At 39.2% G+C, this 15078-nt stretch overlaps 1 protein-coding gene and 1 long non-coding RNA gene across 3 annotated transcripts in view; one reads left to right on the plus strand and one right to left on the minus strand.

Moving 5' to 3' along the window:
• The window catches only part of SGCG (sarcoglycan gamma), a 164655-nt gene that overhangs the window by 3554 nt on the left and 146023 nt on the right, over positions 1-15078 (plus strand). The window lies entirely within an intron of this gene.
• LINC00362 (long intergenic non-protein coding RNA 362) lies at positions 5768-6811 on the minus strand. Its single transcript, XR_007063718.1, has 2 exons — positions 6491-6811; positions 5768-5991 (listed from the first exon to the last, which is right to left on the minus strand). It is a non-coding gene; the product is annotated as a long intergenic non-protein coding RNA 362 (long non-coding RNA).

A 15078-nucleotide genomic window follows, 5' to 3' on the forward strand; every position in this document is an offset into this window, starting at 1 on the left:
CCTGACCAGTCGCCTCAATTGGTAACCAGGTTTTTGTTTTCCTGTCTTTTTTCTTTAAGATTGTTGACTCAGTTTGTTTATAACTCCCCTTAATCCAAAATTACTTGCCAAAAATATGTATTATTTGTTTATAACTCCCCTTAATCCAAAATTACTTGCCAAAAATATGCAATAGATTATTCTCCAGATAGTTTAATTATCACAGGTACATGTAATATCATTGTACCATTACCTCTGTCTTCGAGCACTTGCTCTGAAAAGAAAGATGCTCTGTTTATTGTGTTGATGGAACTCCTACTTTAAGAGTCACTTTAGGTGTTTCATTTCATGTCACTTTCATACACACTCTGCAATTAGGACCTCATTTAACACGGAAGGAAACTGGGCCCAGAGAGGCTGTAATTCATTAAGGTAGTTAAACTGCAGAGGAATAAAGGAATATCTGAGGCCAGGTCATTTATAAAGAAAAGAGGTTTCCTTTGGCTCATGGTTCTGCAGGCTGTACAGGAAGCATGGCACCAGCATCTGCTTCTCGTGAGGGCTCAGAAAGCTTCCGTTATGGCAGAAGGGAAATAGGAACTGGCCTGTGCAGAGATCATTCGGCAAGAAAGGATGCAAGAGACAGGAGAGGTGCCACTCTGCTGTCCCATTAAGCTTGACACAGTCCGTCTCCTACTCCCTTTAGAAGCAATTCCATAACTCCACTGCTCTCCTCCGGCCTCCTGCCAGCCCTGCTCCCTACCACTCACAGCAGATGACCTCCCTGCTACTCTGGTGGCACTCAGGTGGAAGCTGATTTGCTCCTGCCCTCTCCAGTGACACCCTCCATCTGGGCCAGCATGTACCCTTCCCTCTTCAGGGCAGCCTGCTCCACACCCTTTCCCTTCCCATTTTCTCCTTCACCTACTCAGCCCTCTCCCTCTCCTGTGGCCCTCCCCTCCCACTGCACCTTCTCCTGCACTTTCCCTTGAGCATAAGCTCAAGATTAGATACTTATTTGAGGGTTATGTCAAAGAAGGACTTTCTGAGAGAGATGGCAGCTACACTTATGACTAGTTTATTAGAAACAGAAAATAGAAAAATTATTATCAGCCTAGCAATGAACTATTTGAATTAATCTTGTTTGGGGGCCTATTTTAATTTCATATTTGTAGAAAATGTTAATAAAATTATTTCATCATAATGTTAAAACATTTGGGTAAAGAGTGTTTTCAGGCTGTTTTTGAACAATGAAAGAGGATAAACAAAATGAATATTGCAGCATTATTCTCAAGTCCATAATTATGTTATATATGAGATAAGGCAAATAATATATGCCTGAGATTTCCTGGACTAAGTTTTGAACTACAAATGTTGGGATGGATAAAAAAGAACAAAACCATGGGGAGGAGATGAACAGTGAATTTTTTAATGCAAAAGTTAAGAGATTCCCCATTCTAAAATACTCATTTCAGTAGGAGGCAAACTTTTTTTTTTTTTTTGAGACAGAGTCTCACTCTGTTGCCCTGGCTGGAGTGCAGTGGCACTGTGTGCGTTCACTGCAACCTCCACCTCCCGGGTTCAAGCGATTCTGCTGCCTCAGCCTCCTGAGTAGGTAGGATTACAGGCGCTTGCCACCACGCCCAGCTAATTTTTGTATTTTTTTAGTAGAGACGGGGTTTCACCAAATTGGTCAGGGTGGTCTCGAACTCCTGACCTCAGGTGATCCACCTGCCTTGGCTTCCCAAAGTGCTGGGATTACAGGAATGAGCCACCGTGCCCAGCCTGTTTCAAATTCTACTTGTTCATTGCTGGCATTTATTAAAGCAGTCAATTTTTATATATAAACTTTGTATCTTGCAACCCTGCTATAATTGCTCATTAGTTCTAGCAGTTTTGTTTTCTGTTGTTTCTGATTTTCCAAATAGGCAATCTTGTCATTTGTGAACACGGTTTTAGTTCTTCCTTTCTAATCTATGTGCCTTTTATTTCCTTTTCCTGTCCTATTGCATTACCTAGGACTTCCAGCACAATGTTGAGAAGGAACGGTGAGAGGGAACTTCCTTGCCTTGTCCCTGGTCTTGGTGTAAAAGCTTTTCATTTCTCAACATTAAATATGATGTTAGTTGAAGGTTTTTGTACAAATTCTTTATCAATTCTCCTCTATTTCTAGTTTACCGAGAGTTTTGTTTGTTTGTTTGTTTGTTTTTTGAGGCAGAGTCTCGGCTCACTGCAACATCCGCCTCCCGAGTTCAAGTGGTTCTCCTGCCTCAGTCTCCCGAGTAGCTGGGACTACAGGCACACGCCACCAAGCCCAGCTAATTTTTGTATTTTTAGTAGAGATGAGGTTTCACCATGTTGGCCAGGATGGTCTCAATCTCTTGACCTCGTGATCTGCCCGCCCCAGCCTCCCAAAATGCTGGGATTACAGGCCTGAGCCACCGTGCCCAGCCTCTGTTCCAGTAAGTTGTGATTCCCTGTATTTGTCTGTCTGTCTCTCAAATTTGCCATAGCAGTCTACACTATGACCTTATTCCTCTTCTGGGTCTAAGAAAAGTTGGGGACTTTTCTGTTTGTTCAGTTTTTTACTTGTGGTTAGGATGGAGTGGCAACTCCTGAGTTTCTTGTGTGCCAGAGGGGAAATGGGAGGTCTGCTCTGCACTTTTCATGGTTGGTTCAATCTCATTATTCAGTGTTAGCTCGTGTGTCATCACAGAAAAACCTTTTTTATTTGTAAGGTTTGTAGGTACATAGTAGGTGTATATATTTATGAGGTACATGAGATATTTTGATACAGGCATGCCATGTGAGAGAATCACATCATAGAGAATGGGGTATCCATCCCTCAGGCATTTATCCCTTGTGTTACAAACAATCCAATTATACTCTTTTTATTTTAAAGTGTAAAATTAAATTATTATTGACTATAGTCATCCTGTTGTGCTATCAAACACTAGGTCTTATTCTTTCTATTTTTTAACCCATTATCCAAACCCCTGCCCCTACTTTCACTACCCTTCCCAGCCTTTGGTAACCATCCTTCTACTCTGTCTCCATGAGTTCAATTGTTTTGATTTTTAGATGCCGCAAATAAGTGAGAACATACAATATTTGTCTTTTTGTGCCTGGCTTATTTCACTTAACATAATGTTCTCCTGTTCCATCCATGTTGTTGCAGATGACAAGATCTCATTCTTTTTTATGGCTGAATAGTACTCCATTGTGTACATGTGCCACATTTTCTTTGTGGCACATTTCCATTAATCTGTTGATGAATATAGGTTGCTTCCAAATCGTGGCTATTGTTAACAGTGCTACAACAAACATGGGAGTGCAGATACCTCTTCAATAGACTGATTTCCTTTCTTAGGGGTATATACCCAGCGGTGGGATTGCTGAATCTCATAGTAGCTCTATTTTTAGTCTTTTTCTCCAAACTGTTGTCCATAGTGGTTGTACTAATTTACATTCCCACCAACAGTGCACAAGGGTTCTTTTTTCTCCACGTCCTCGCCAGCATTTGTTATTGCCTGTCTTTTGGATGTAAGCCATTTTAGCTGGGGTGAGACAGTATCTTGTTGTAGTTTTTATTTGCATTCCTCTGATGATCAATGATGTTAAGCACCTTTTCATATGCTATTTGCTATTTGTATGTCTTCTTTTGAGAAATATATATTCCAATCTTTTGCCCTTTTTTTTTTTTCTTTTTGAGACAGAGTCTTGCTCCGGCACCCAGGCTGGAGTACAATGGTACCATCTCAGCTCACTGCAATCTCTGCCTCCTGGGTTCAAATGATTCTCCTACTTCAGCCTTCTGAGTAGCTGGGATTACAGGCGCGTGCCATCACACCATACTAACTTTTTGTATTTTTAGTAGAGACGAGGTTTCACCATGTTTGTTGGCCAGTCTGGTCTTGAACTCTTGACCTCAGATGATCCGTGTGCCTCGATCTCCCAAAGTGCTGAGATTACAGGCATGAGTCACTGCGCCTCGCTCCCTTGCCCATTTTTTAAATTGGATTATTATATTTTTTCCTATAGAGTTGTTTGAGCTCCCTAGATATTCTGGTTATTAATCCCTTGTCAGATGGGTAGTTTGCAAATATTTTCTCCCATTCCGTGACTGGTTTTTTCACATCGTTGTTTGTTTCCTTTGCTGTGCAGAAGCTTTTTAACTTGATGTGCCAGAAAAACCTTCTTTACCATTATATTTAAAATATACTCCTAGTGATCCTATTTATTCCCTTAATTTGTCACTATAGAAAATTGTCTTATTTTTCATATTTAAATATGAGAAATTTTCATACATACTGGCTGTTTTCCCTAAACTATAATATAAGCTCTAAGAAGTCTCTAGAACAAGAGACCTCTTTTGTCCTGTTCATGGTGGTATCCTCAGCCCTGGAACAGTGTTTGGCACCTAGTTGGTGCCTGTTGGACCAAAGACAGCAGTAGTAGCCCCAGCAGGGTGCTCGTGCCTTTGCCATACAGCTAATTCAGTACATAACGCAGCTTCTCAGTACAGGCTTGAGGACAGTTGGTAATTAATTGCATCACTGTAACCTCTGTATACAATAATGGACATTTCCATGCAGTTACTTAAAAATCTATTACTTTTCTGTCTTCAACAAGAACTACATTTGTCATCTATTCTAGCAGACAAACATTTTTTAATATTAGCAAAGGCCTGCTCACATACATGACAGAGATAATCATTGATAACAATTATCTAAATAAGGCATGATTGATAGGCATCTGCTATTAATATGCACTCCATTGTGTTATTATCATATTTTACCAAATCTAAGATGCCCATTTTTCTCACATTTAATAGCTCTGAAATTGTGAGGCATATTACATTCAGTAATATGGTTTAATTTGCATTGGAATTTCCTTTCTTAATAGCACAAAATTAATGGTATTCTTATAATCATCATTCTTAGATTTGTTGAGATACAGTATATCAGAAAGTCAAGAACTCATCCATAAGGTTTAGTAATTTATATATATATAAATATATTTTTTAAATTTAGAACTGTCATCTGAAGTTTTCCCACTAGTCCTCTCTTGCAAAACCTAGTAATCTTTCTCTACCCTCATTTTTGACCCCCTTCCCACCCAGAGCACAGGAGAACACTGAACAATCCTCCTCATTCATGTGAGCCAACACTGATGATGTGGATTTCCATAACCTGTAAGTTCGGTTTGCATGACTGATGGCAGGGAGTCATTCAAATTTGTGTCCACCTTCTCTCCTCATTTTTAAATACTTCTTTCTACTTCTGGTTGCATTCTCCCTCATTCTTCCATTTGTCAGGAACTAACACCACCATCACCCTGTGGAAAAAAAAAAAAAGGTAGCCGGCGCGGTGGCTCACGCCTGTAATCCCAGCACTTTGGGAGGCCGAGGCGGGTGGATCACGAGGTCAAGAGATCGAGACCATTCTGGCCAACATGGTGAAACCCCGTCTCTACTAAAAATACAAAAATTAGTTGGGCATAGTGGTGCATGCCTGTAGTCCCAGCTACTCAGTAGGCTGAGGCAGGAGAATTGCTTGAACCAGGGAGGCAAAGGTTGCAGTGAGCCGAGATCTTGCCACTGCACTCCAGCCCAGCAACAGAGAGAGACTCCATCTCTCTCTCTCTCTCTCTCTGTCTCTCATACACACACACACACACACACACACACACACACACACACACACACGCAACTTCTTTAGATTATTGCATTGGTTTGCCTCAAACTTGTATTGGATTCTTCGTGTTGCAAATGATCAAACACCAACTATACAGTTTTGAACAACAAAGGCAATTTATTGACTGGCATAACGGAGAAGCACAAGATTGGGGCTGGTTTGGGCATGCCTTGATCCATGGCCTAAGCATGGCCATCAGTTTTTCTCTGTCCTCAGCCCTGTTCTCTGCTGCGTTGGCTGGCTTGTGTGGCTGCTGACAAATCCAGGCTTCAAGCACTATCCGATTCAGGGCAAGCGAAGAAGAAAGTGTGTCTTTCTAGTGGCAGAAATAAAAGTAGTGGAATTTGCTCTAATTAAGCCTAATTGGCTTGGATTGAATCCTTCTAAAATAATCTCTGTGAACAAGAGAATATCTGATTGGCCTGGCCTGTCCTGAGTCACATGAAATCCCACAGAATCTAATTCTTGGTATCAAACAGCTTTATTTCTTTCATGTTAAGGAACTGGGCTGGGTGATATATTTAATGTACTTAGGGCCAAACCCTTCATTTCTTCCTTTAATTGGAATCCTCCTTTCCTATGAAAACAAATGGACTTTGTGATCATTAGCTTAGTGAGGGTAGTATACACACATTAATTGAAATGATTTAAATTAAATGATGTAAGATGTTTGCTGGAGCCAACTGGCACATATGGCAGAGAATCAATGCAAAGAAAGTTTGAGTAGAAGGAGGGATGATAAAGACGTGAGCTTGTCTATGTGTCCATGAAATGTCCCTGCCTATGAGTCTTCAAACACAAGGAGCTAAAGCCACCTGAATTGCTGCTTCTCCTCTTCCTGTTGTTGCCTTCTTCTTCTGGTGTCTTTTCCCCCAGCCTCAACGTTAATTGTCTTGCCACCACCTTTGTGACCTCATGACACAGCATGTCTGTTATGGTGCCTCTGGTATCCAGGCACACATTTTCAGAGGACAAAGATTTCTTGAGGGAACAGGATGGTAAAGACTTCTAAGTAGCTGGCATGAGGATGAGAGGTGAGGAGCGCAGTGACCCTCAGAAGTAACCTGAGAGAGGTAGTGTCAGGAGCAAGACAAGTGCAGCTGCATGGGAGTCTAGCTTCTCTGCCTTCAGCCTATGACCGTGCCCCTGTGTGTGGTCAAGCCTAATGACCTGCATGCATCATAGCAGAGGAAGCTGTTGACCCATGATGTCGATTTGAAAGCTAAACTATAAAGAAAATAGTATAATTTGGCTTGATTGTATAAAAGTGCTATGCTATGGTCTGCCTATGAGAGTTAATTACTAATTGAGCACATAAATGGTAAGATACACCATTAAGTCAAAATGTCTTTATCGTATCAGGCATATCATTAGGTAAACCAAGATACTTTTATCATAAAGGCTACATGTATCATAATCTGTAAGTCATGTATCTTATTTCTTTTTGATAAATTCACTCAGCATTAAGGAATAATTATAATAGCTAACCATTTAACATGTATTTTACTACATGTCAGACACCTTTTGTACATTATCTTATTTAATTATTTAATTAACCTTAAATGGGAGATAGTATTATTCCCAACATTAATAGGAGAACATTGACCATTGAAGAAGATAACTTACTTAACATTACACTGCTGTTAAGAAAGTAAATTTAAAGCTCAGCTGACTTCAAAGCCTGAGATTTTTGTTATCTCTAAGGAAAGATAGAGAACAGAAGATTTTGAAATTAACGCCATGTAATGTTAATCAGAATCAGAGTACAGGATATCAGCCAAGCTGTCAAACCAAGGAGGCTATAAGGCATCTGCATCTGACTTTTTGGGATCTAAGGCAGCAGTCCCCAGCCTTTTTGGCACCAGAGACCAGTTTTGTGAAAGACAGTTTTTCCATAGATGGAGGACATAGGGGATGGTTTCAGGATGTAACTGTTCCAGATAAGATCATCAGGCATTAGAATCCCATAAGATGGATGCCACCTAGATCCCTCTCATGAGTAGTTCACAATAGGGTTCACACTCCTATGAGAATCTCATGCCTCCACTGATCCGACAGGAAGCAGAGCTCAGGCATTAATGCTCACTCACCAGCCACTCATCTCCTGCTGTGCAGCCCGGTTCCTAACAGGCCATGTACCAGTATCGGTTCATGGCCTGGGGGTTGGGAACCTCTGATCTAAGAGGCTGAGCCAAAGTCATCAACACTGAGGATGCTATTCAAAATCAGGGAGGCCAGGGTTGAGACCCATACCGTATAATTGAAAGGAGTCAGGTTTCCTGTAGTGGGAAGATTGCCTTTGGACTTGAATGTCTGATCACAAGTCATCTCCACTACCTCTTACTCCTGGATTAACCTCTCCTTACCCATACTTTTATTCCCTGAGGCATTTGCAATGTTGCAATTGCGATATTGCGTGATTTCATGTCTGTATTCCAGGGAGCCTTTGAGGGAGATGTCCAATAAGCTCTAAGAATATGTGGTTTTCTCTTTTCTCTTTTTCTTCTTTTCAAAGAAGAAAGTTGGTTTGTTTTAAGGTTTAGGTTGGCAATCTCCACGTTTGTTCATGAATTAATAAAAAACATAACACTTAGGAAAGTCACTGACATATCTCAATATGTGTTGACTTTTATACATTTATAAATTATATTCAAATATTACTATAGTATGCATATTTAAAATACATACAAATATTAGAAAATTTAAAATAATTAGTAATAACGATTTGTGCTGTTGGAGAATCAACTACCACTAGGTCTCTTCCAAATACATTAAAGTTTTCCTTTATTTGCTTCCACAGCCCTTAGTTCACGTCTAAATTGTATTGCTAACCATATTATTGAGTATGTAGCTATCTGCCTCCTCAGTGGGAAAGAAAGCTACTTAAGCATAGAAAGTTTATGGTTTAAAGTTAATGGTTTACTGATCATTTCATTAATTTAGCAAATAATTAATGAGCATCTAGAGACTAAGGATATGTAGGTATCAAGACTCAGTCTCTGCCATCAAACTTAGTATCAAGTGATGGATGAACAGGTTATAGACAAGGAACAGTCACAGATTAGCCTATGCTGAAGGCCAGGAGTAGGATGAAGGTGCTTAGGGGGACACCAGTCCTGCAAGAAAGGAGGAAGTGGGAGAAAAGGGTTAAAGAAGGACACATGTTGATACAGAATAGCCCCTACTACGTAGTAGATTCTCAACAAAGATATGTGGTTGTCAAATGCTGATATTAATATTTTTTGTGTTTGAGAAGATTGAGAAAAATCATATCTCTATTTACCGCCCACTTTCTGAACCAATTGAAAAACAGACAAAAGAATGAGGCCAGTGAAGCTCTGTCAGTTATTTTATAAATGGAGCTGTTAGAGAATATATCCTAGATGTGCAGCAGTGGTGGACTCCTAATGTTACATTCTGGGCAAGGATCTACCCACTCACCCACCAGGTAGCGCTGGGAAATCATGGGTCTCCAAAGGGAAGACTGCATCTTAAACTCTCAGCATCAAAGATCCATGCAAAAAGTGTCCTCTCTGCAGACATGAAGCCAGGTCCCTAAAGAAGGAGGAGGAGTCACACATGCAGGCCTGCTTTCTTACTCCAGCTCACAGATGAGGTGCATAAATCCACTTTTCTTGGGAAGAAAAATTGAAGAGAGTCCAGGAATGTTACTATAATGGAAGAAATCATCTCAGAGAAGGAGTGTTTCTTACACAAATGAAGATTTCCAAAGATTTTCAATGGCCAACATACTTTCAAAGTTCCTGGGCACAGATCACTCTATTTCTCTATATCCAGACTTCTGATGTTCTCTGTTCAGTTCTGCTATTTTCCTCCAAATTTACTTTATGTCATCTATTATTATTTTCATAATTGCTACCATCATCCACTTTCTAACCCATCATCAGAAATTTCTGGTCAAGGTAAAGAAATTTAGGAACATTCATGTAATATAACTTTAGTATTCTTACTTGATAATAACTAGTTTGCAATAAGAACAAATACATTTAAATTTTATAACTGCATGCTGTCTTCTCTTTGATCACATCAGATATATAAAATGTCAGATGAATGTAAAAGGAAATAAATTGGGAATAATATTAATTTTACCAAAAGATAGGCACAGATACCTTTAAACAGTAATATATCTTACTCAGTGTAAACTAGAAATGAAAATTAGGACAGAATTACGTCTCTGCAGGAACTCTTAATGATAGATGTCAGTGCAGCAAGGACTTCAAAGTTCAGTAGGAACTATTTCAATCCAGAATTCTATGCTAAATGAAATGAATTATTAACCAATTTGAGAGCAGAATAGATAAATTTTCAGACACCAAAAGTGTCAGACAATCTGCTTCCCAACCCTCCTTTCTGAATAATTATTGAGGTTGCACTCCATCAAAGCAAGGGAGTAAATGAAAGAACATGAGTGAAGGTCCAGAGAACAATTAGCCCAGCTCAAGAGAACACTGACACCTACTCAAGGCCACAGCTGTGGGAGCCTCAACCTGCAGATGGGGACAGGAAGAGGGAGAGCCTGCATCACACCAATACCGCAGAAAAAGGAGATTGTGTACAATGGTCATGATTACTACAAGTTTGGCCGAAGCTTGAGGATGTGATAGAGGTAAACAATACAAGAAACGAAAAGGAAGATAGTTAAAAAACAAGGGAAGTGGAGGTTAGTCACACGAGAAAGTCATGATCCAACCATGACAGAAACTGTTTATAATGGAAAATGAAGGCAAGTACATTTCAAGGAAAAAAAATGGAATCGATTCCATATAGTAGATTAAAAATAAAAGTCAGGAGACAACTAAGATAGAATGTCAGAGACATATTTCACATAATTTCTTCTTGTAACAGAGAAAAACAAAGGAATTCAGAAATTCCAACAATAAAAGCTGTGTGGGAAAAGCCGTAATGTCAATATGAAGCAATTAAAATATTCAGAGGGATAGTTTTAAAAGTAGATTCCATTTGGAACTGGTAATAGAAACACTGAGTGGCACTGGTTATAAAATCAGTATTTGTCTATGAAAGGAAACATAGTTATAAAAATGTGAACACCGTTTGTTGCATTTTTATTTTTTTAATCAAGCTGGTCAAATCACAGGAGATGCCATTATGGTTTTCAAATGGAATGGAATGGAATCAGCTTTGACCATGTAAAAGTGCAGGTAAACTGAAAGGAGGGCTGGAGACGAGAGCGGCGTGCACCATGGTCACAGGTGGAGGATGGAGCAGCCGCAGCAACAGTGCACTCAGTTAAAGAGCACGAGGGTCAGGATATACTCTCTATAATTTTGAAACAAGAAATAAATATGTAAGTAGACTGTGAAATTGCCAAGTTGACCACAGAAGGAGCTGAAAGAGGTGATAGAACTACATAGGAGAAAGGAGGAAAGTGCTGCAGGATGAAAACCTGCGTGAACAAATTGGATAGATCATGTCTGGAGTTAATACACTGAGACATAGCAATAGGAGGCTAATTAAAGGTAAGAGGTAAGTATGAAAAGGATGAGCTAAGTAGTGACCTCAGACACATGGAGGTAGAGGTGTAGTGGGGAAAAGAAGAGATTTTATTCTAAGCAGGAGATTTTATTCTAAGCCTTTCTGATTGATTTCCTTTTTACCATGCATAGATTCTACTTTGATAATTACTCTTAACATATTTCCTGTGATTCTGATATGCACACATCACACTTACATTCTCTGCCCAAATAATCATTGCCCAAGAAATCTATACTTGATGGAGTTGCAATATCTGTTGCTTACAAATTATTCAAGGTCATGAGTTCATGGAAGCCAGTGTATAACATAATACGGAAATTTTAGGTAGTACTCTATTTTCTCCCCTGAAATCTGAGTTTTCTTTTTCTTTTAGCCTTTCTTACACCTAATTTCTCCAGCATCTCAATGATTTCTTATTTATTACATATGAATTTCTCCCCTCTATCTTCTTTTAGAATACTGAGTTCAATTTTTATAAATATTGACTTCCAATTCCCCAAAGGTACCATGAAAAAAATACATTTAGTAGTCTAATGATCAAATATTTAATTGATATAACAATTTACAGGGAATATTAATTATATTAGTTAAAATGTGTTCACTGTGTGATTCCTATTGATAAATAATCAAAGAATATGAGTGAGAATCATCCAAGTAATTACAATCCAGATGAAAACTCTTAGTTTTCAGTTGAACATAAAATCATTTGATTACTCATTTTGTTTATGTGAAAGATCTATGGCCATCTATTTTGAAGATTGTAACTTTAATTAAAGAGGCAAATAATTGACATAGTATTTCTGAAAGCTTTTAAAGTTTGTTACTTACAAAATAATTTAATTTGCATTCACATTTAATTTGTCCCCAAAACCAAACTTTTATTACTGTTATACTGACCTCTTCTGGATACTTCCTATAATGTCAGCCATATACTATGATAGCTCAAGTTTTTTAATGGAATTAATATCATTTTAAAAAAAACTAATAAAGCTGGTGTAACTTGAGTTTAGTTCATTGACGGCTCACTACATGTAGACATTGAACAAAGAGTTTATGGTCTGGTAGAGAGGACAGCATAGACAAGTAATGACAACAAAAATACAAGTAACTACAGTTAAGTTTCAAAGTACATATAGATCTAATATTTGCTTTATATATTTGGGTGCTTTACTGTTGGGTGCATATATATTTATAATTGCTATATTTTCTTGCTGAAAATGTTCCTTTATCATTATATAATGACCATTTTAATCTTTTTTTTATAGTTTTTGACTTAATGTTTATTTTTTCTGATACAACTACCCCTGTTTACTTATGGTTTCCATTTGCAGGGCGTATCTTTTTCCATCTCTTTGCTTGTAGTCTATGTGTGTCCTTATAGGTGCAATAAGTCTCTTGTGGGCAGCATACGGTTGGGTCTTTTTATCCATTCAGCCACACTATACCTTTTAGTTGGGGAATTTAACCTATTTACATGGAAGGTTATTGTCGATAGGTAAGGACTTATTCCTGCTATTTTATTAATTGTTTCCTGGCTGTTTTGTAGATTCTTTGTTTCTTCCTTCCTCCCTTGTTGTTTACCTTTGTGGTTTAGAGGTTTTCTGTGGTGCCACTACTGGGTATATATCCAAAGGAAATGAAATCTGTATGTCAAAGAAACATCTGCATCCCCATGTTTATTTTAGAACTATTCACAATAGCCAAGATATAGAATCAGCCTATGTGTTTTAACAGTAGATGAATGAATAAAGAAACTGTGGTATATATGCATGGTGTAATACTGTTCGGCCTTTTAAAAGAAGGAAATCCTGTCATTTTGAGAACATGGATGAACCTGAAGGACATCATGTTAAGTAAAATAAGCCAAGCATGAAAAGACAAATACTGCATGTTCTCACTCATATGCAAAACCTTAGAAGTTGATCTCCTAGAAGTTGAGAGTAGAGCAATGATTACCAGAGAATGGGGAGGGGAAGGGGAAGAAAGGGATGAGCTTGGTCAGTGGGTAAAAAGTTAGAATTAGAAAGGTTTGGTGTCCTGTTGCATAGTAGGGTGACTATAGTCAACACAAAGGTATTGTGTATCTCAAAATAACTAGAAGAGGGGATTTTGTGTGTTCCCACCTTAAAGAAATTATAAATGTTTGAGGTGATGGATATGCTAATCAGGATAAATCGGGATAAAAAATTATCCTGATTTGATCATTACTTAATGTATACATGTATTGAAGTATCACGTTGTACCCAGTAAATATATACAATTAATATGTGTCCGTTTTTTTTTAAGTATAGAAAACTGATAGTGGCATGTGAGCAGGCTTTTTTTTTTTTTTTTTTTTTGAGACAGAGTCTTGCTCTGTCACCCAGGCTGGAGTGCAGTGGTGTGATCTCGGCTCACTGCAACTACCACCTCCCAGGTTCAAGCGATTGTCCTGCCTCAGCCTCCCAAGTAGCTGGGATTACAGGTGTCTGCCACCATGTCCGGCTATTTTTTTTTTTCTGTATTTTTAGTAGAGGTGGGGTTTCATCACGTTGGCCAGGCTGGTTTTGAACTCCTGACCTCAAGTGATCTGCTCACCTTGGCCTCCCAAAGTGCTAGGATTACAGGCATGAGCCACCACGCCCGGCCTGTGAGCAGACTTTTAAAAGTTAAATTATAGTTCATCAGTAGAAAAAGATGGGAGGTAACCCTAGTCAAAGATAGCCAGGCACCCAAGGGCATTGTCACTTTTGTGATTCCAAACTCCCCAGGACAAGGCACAGAAGAGATGAACAGGGCCCATCACTGAAGGCATGTGTGTCAGGTCAAGAACTTGGTCCTGCACCTGGAGGCTTGATGAAGGGCTTTAGGCCAAGGAGTGATATGGACAGAATTACCTGTTCTCATCATTCCTCTGGCAGTCCCTAGGTGTGTAGGATGGGGGCTGGCAGTTCCCGGAAGCAGAGGAAGTAGGTACTTGGCTATAGCAATAGGTGATGCCAGAGAAGGTGAATCTCCAAGTCAGGCAGGAGCAAGGAGGGAAGGCAAGCAGAGCAGGAGGTTCTGCAGAGGGAATCCACTGAAGTTAGTGACTGGTAGACTGGTGAGTGAGGGAGAGCCCTAAGTCTGTCTTCTGTGACATTCTGGGGGATGGCATCGTCAACCGAGGAAGGAAAGATGGACAAAAGAGCAGTGGGTGTTGTATTGGAGGAATTGTGGGGAGACAATGCGTGTTGTATTGGAGGAAAGGCTGAGCAGTTTTGAGGGATTTAGTCACAGTAATCCATGACTGCAGTTAGCTTATAACGTCATGAGAACTATTAAAATGAGACTACTATCCATATATTTATAACTTCATTTGGGCCTTGGACATGGCCTAATATGTTTCACTAGTCAATTGACAACCCAAATCATTAAAATACTCCGTTATTTTCAAATGTTGAACTTTCTCATTCCCCTATTTCCACATTCTCTCTCTACAGATAACCTCACCTCTTACTTCATCTCAAAATAGAAATGATTTCTCCAAAACTGACGACATCACTACTGAAATTCCTTGTTTTCACTGGTTCTGAAAGTGATCCCCCGAACCCAACCACTTAAGCCAGAAACAGGGTTATCAATGCCCAAACTGAAGGAAGAGCTTGATGAGATGGTGTCAGGAAGAAAGGTCAGCGCTAACTGATGACTGCAGTAGTCAAAAATGGAAGCAGAGGGAGAATGAGGGGGAAGCCAGAAAGGTCCCCATAGGTTCGTAGGACCATGGTTGGAGCACGTTTACAGTGGAGCACCCAAGCACCAAATTAGGCCTAAGGACTTTCAAAGTCACTTCTACCCATAGGCTTACTAGCTTTGTAATCTGGAACAAATTATTTTACACCTAAATGACTGTTAGACTAGATTTCTTTAA

The sequence above is a fragment of the Homo sapiens genome, chromosome 13 (genome assembly GCF_000001405.40).
Source record: "Homo sapiens chromosome 13, GRCh38.p14 Primary Assembly".
Lineage (NCBI taxonomy): Eukaryota > Metazoa > Chordata > Mammalia > Primates > Hominidae > Homo > Homo sapiens.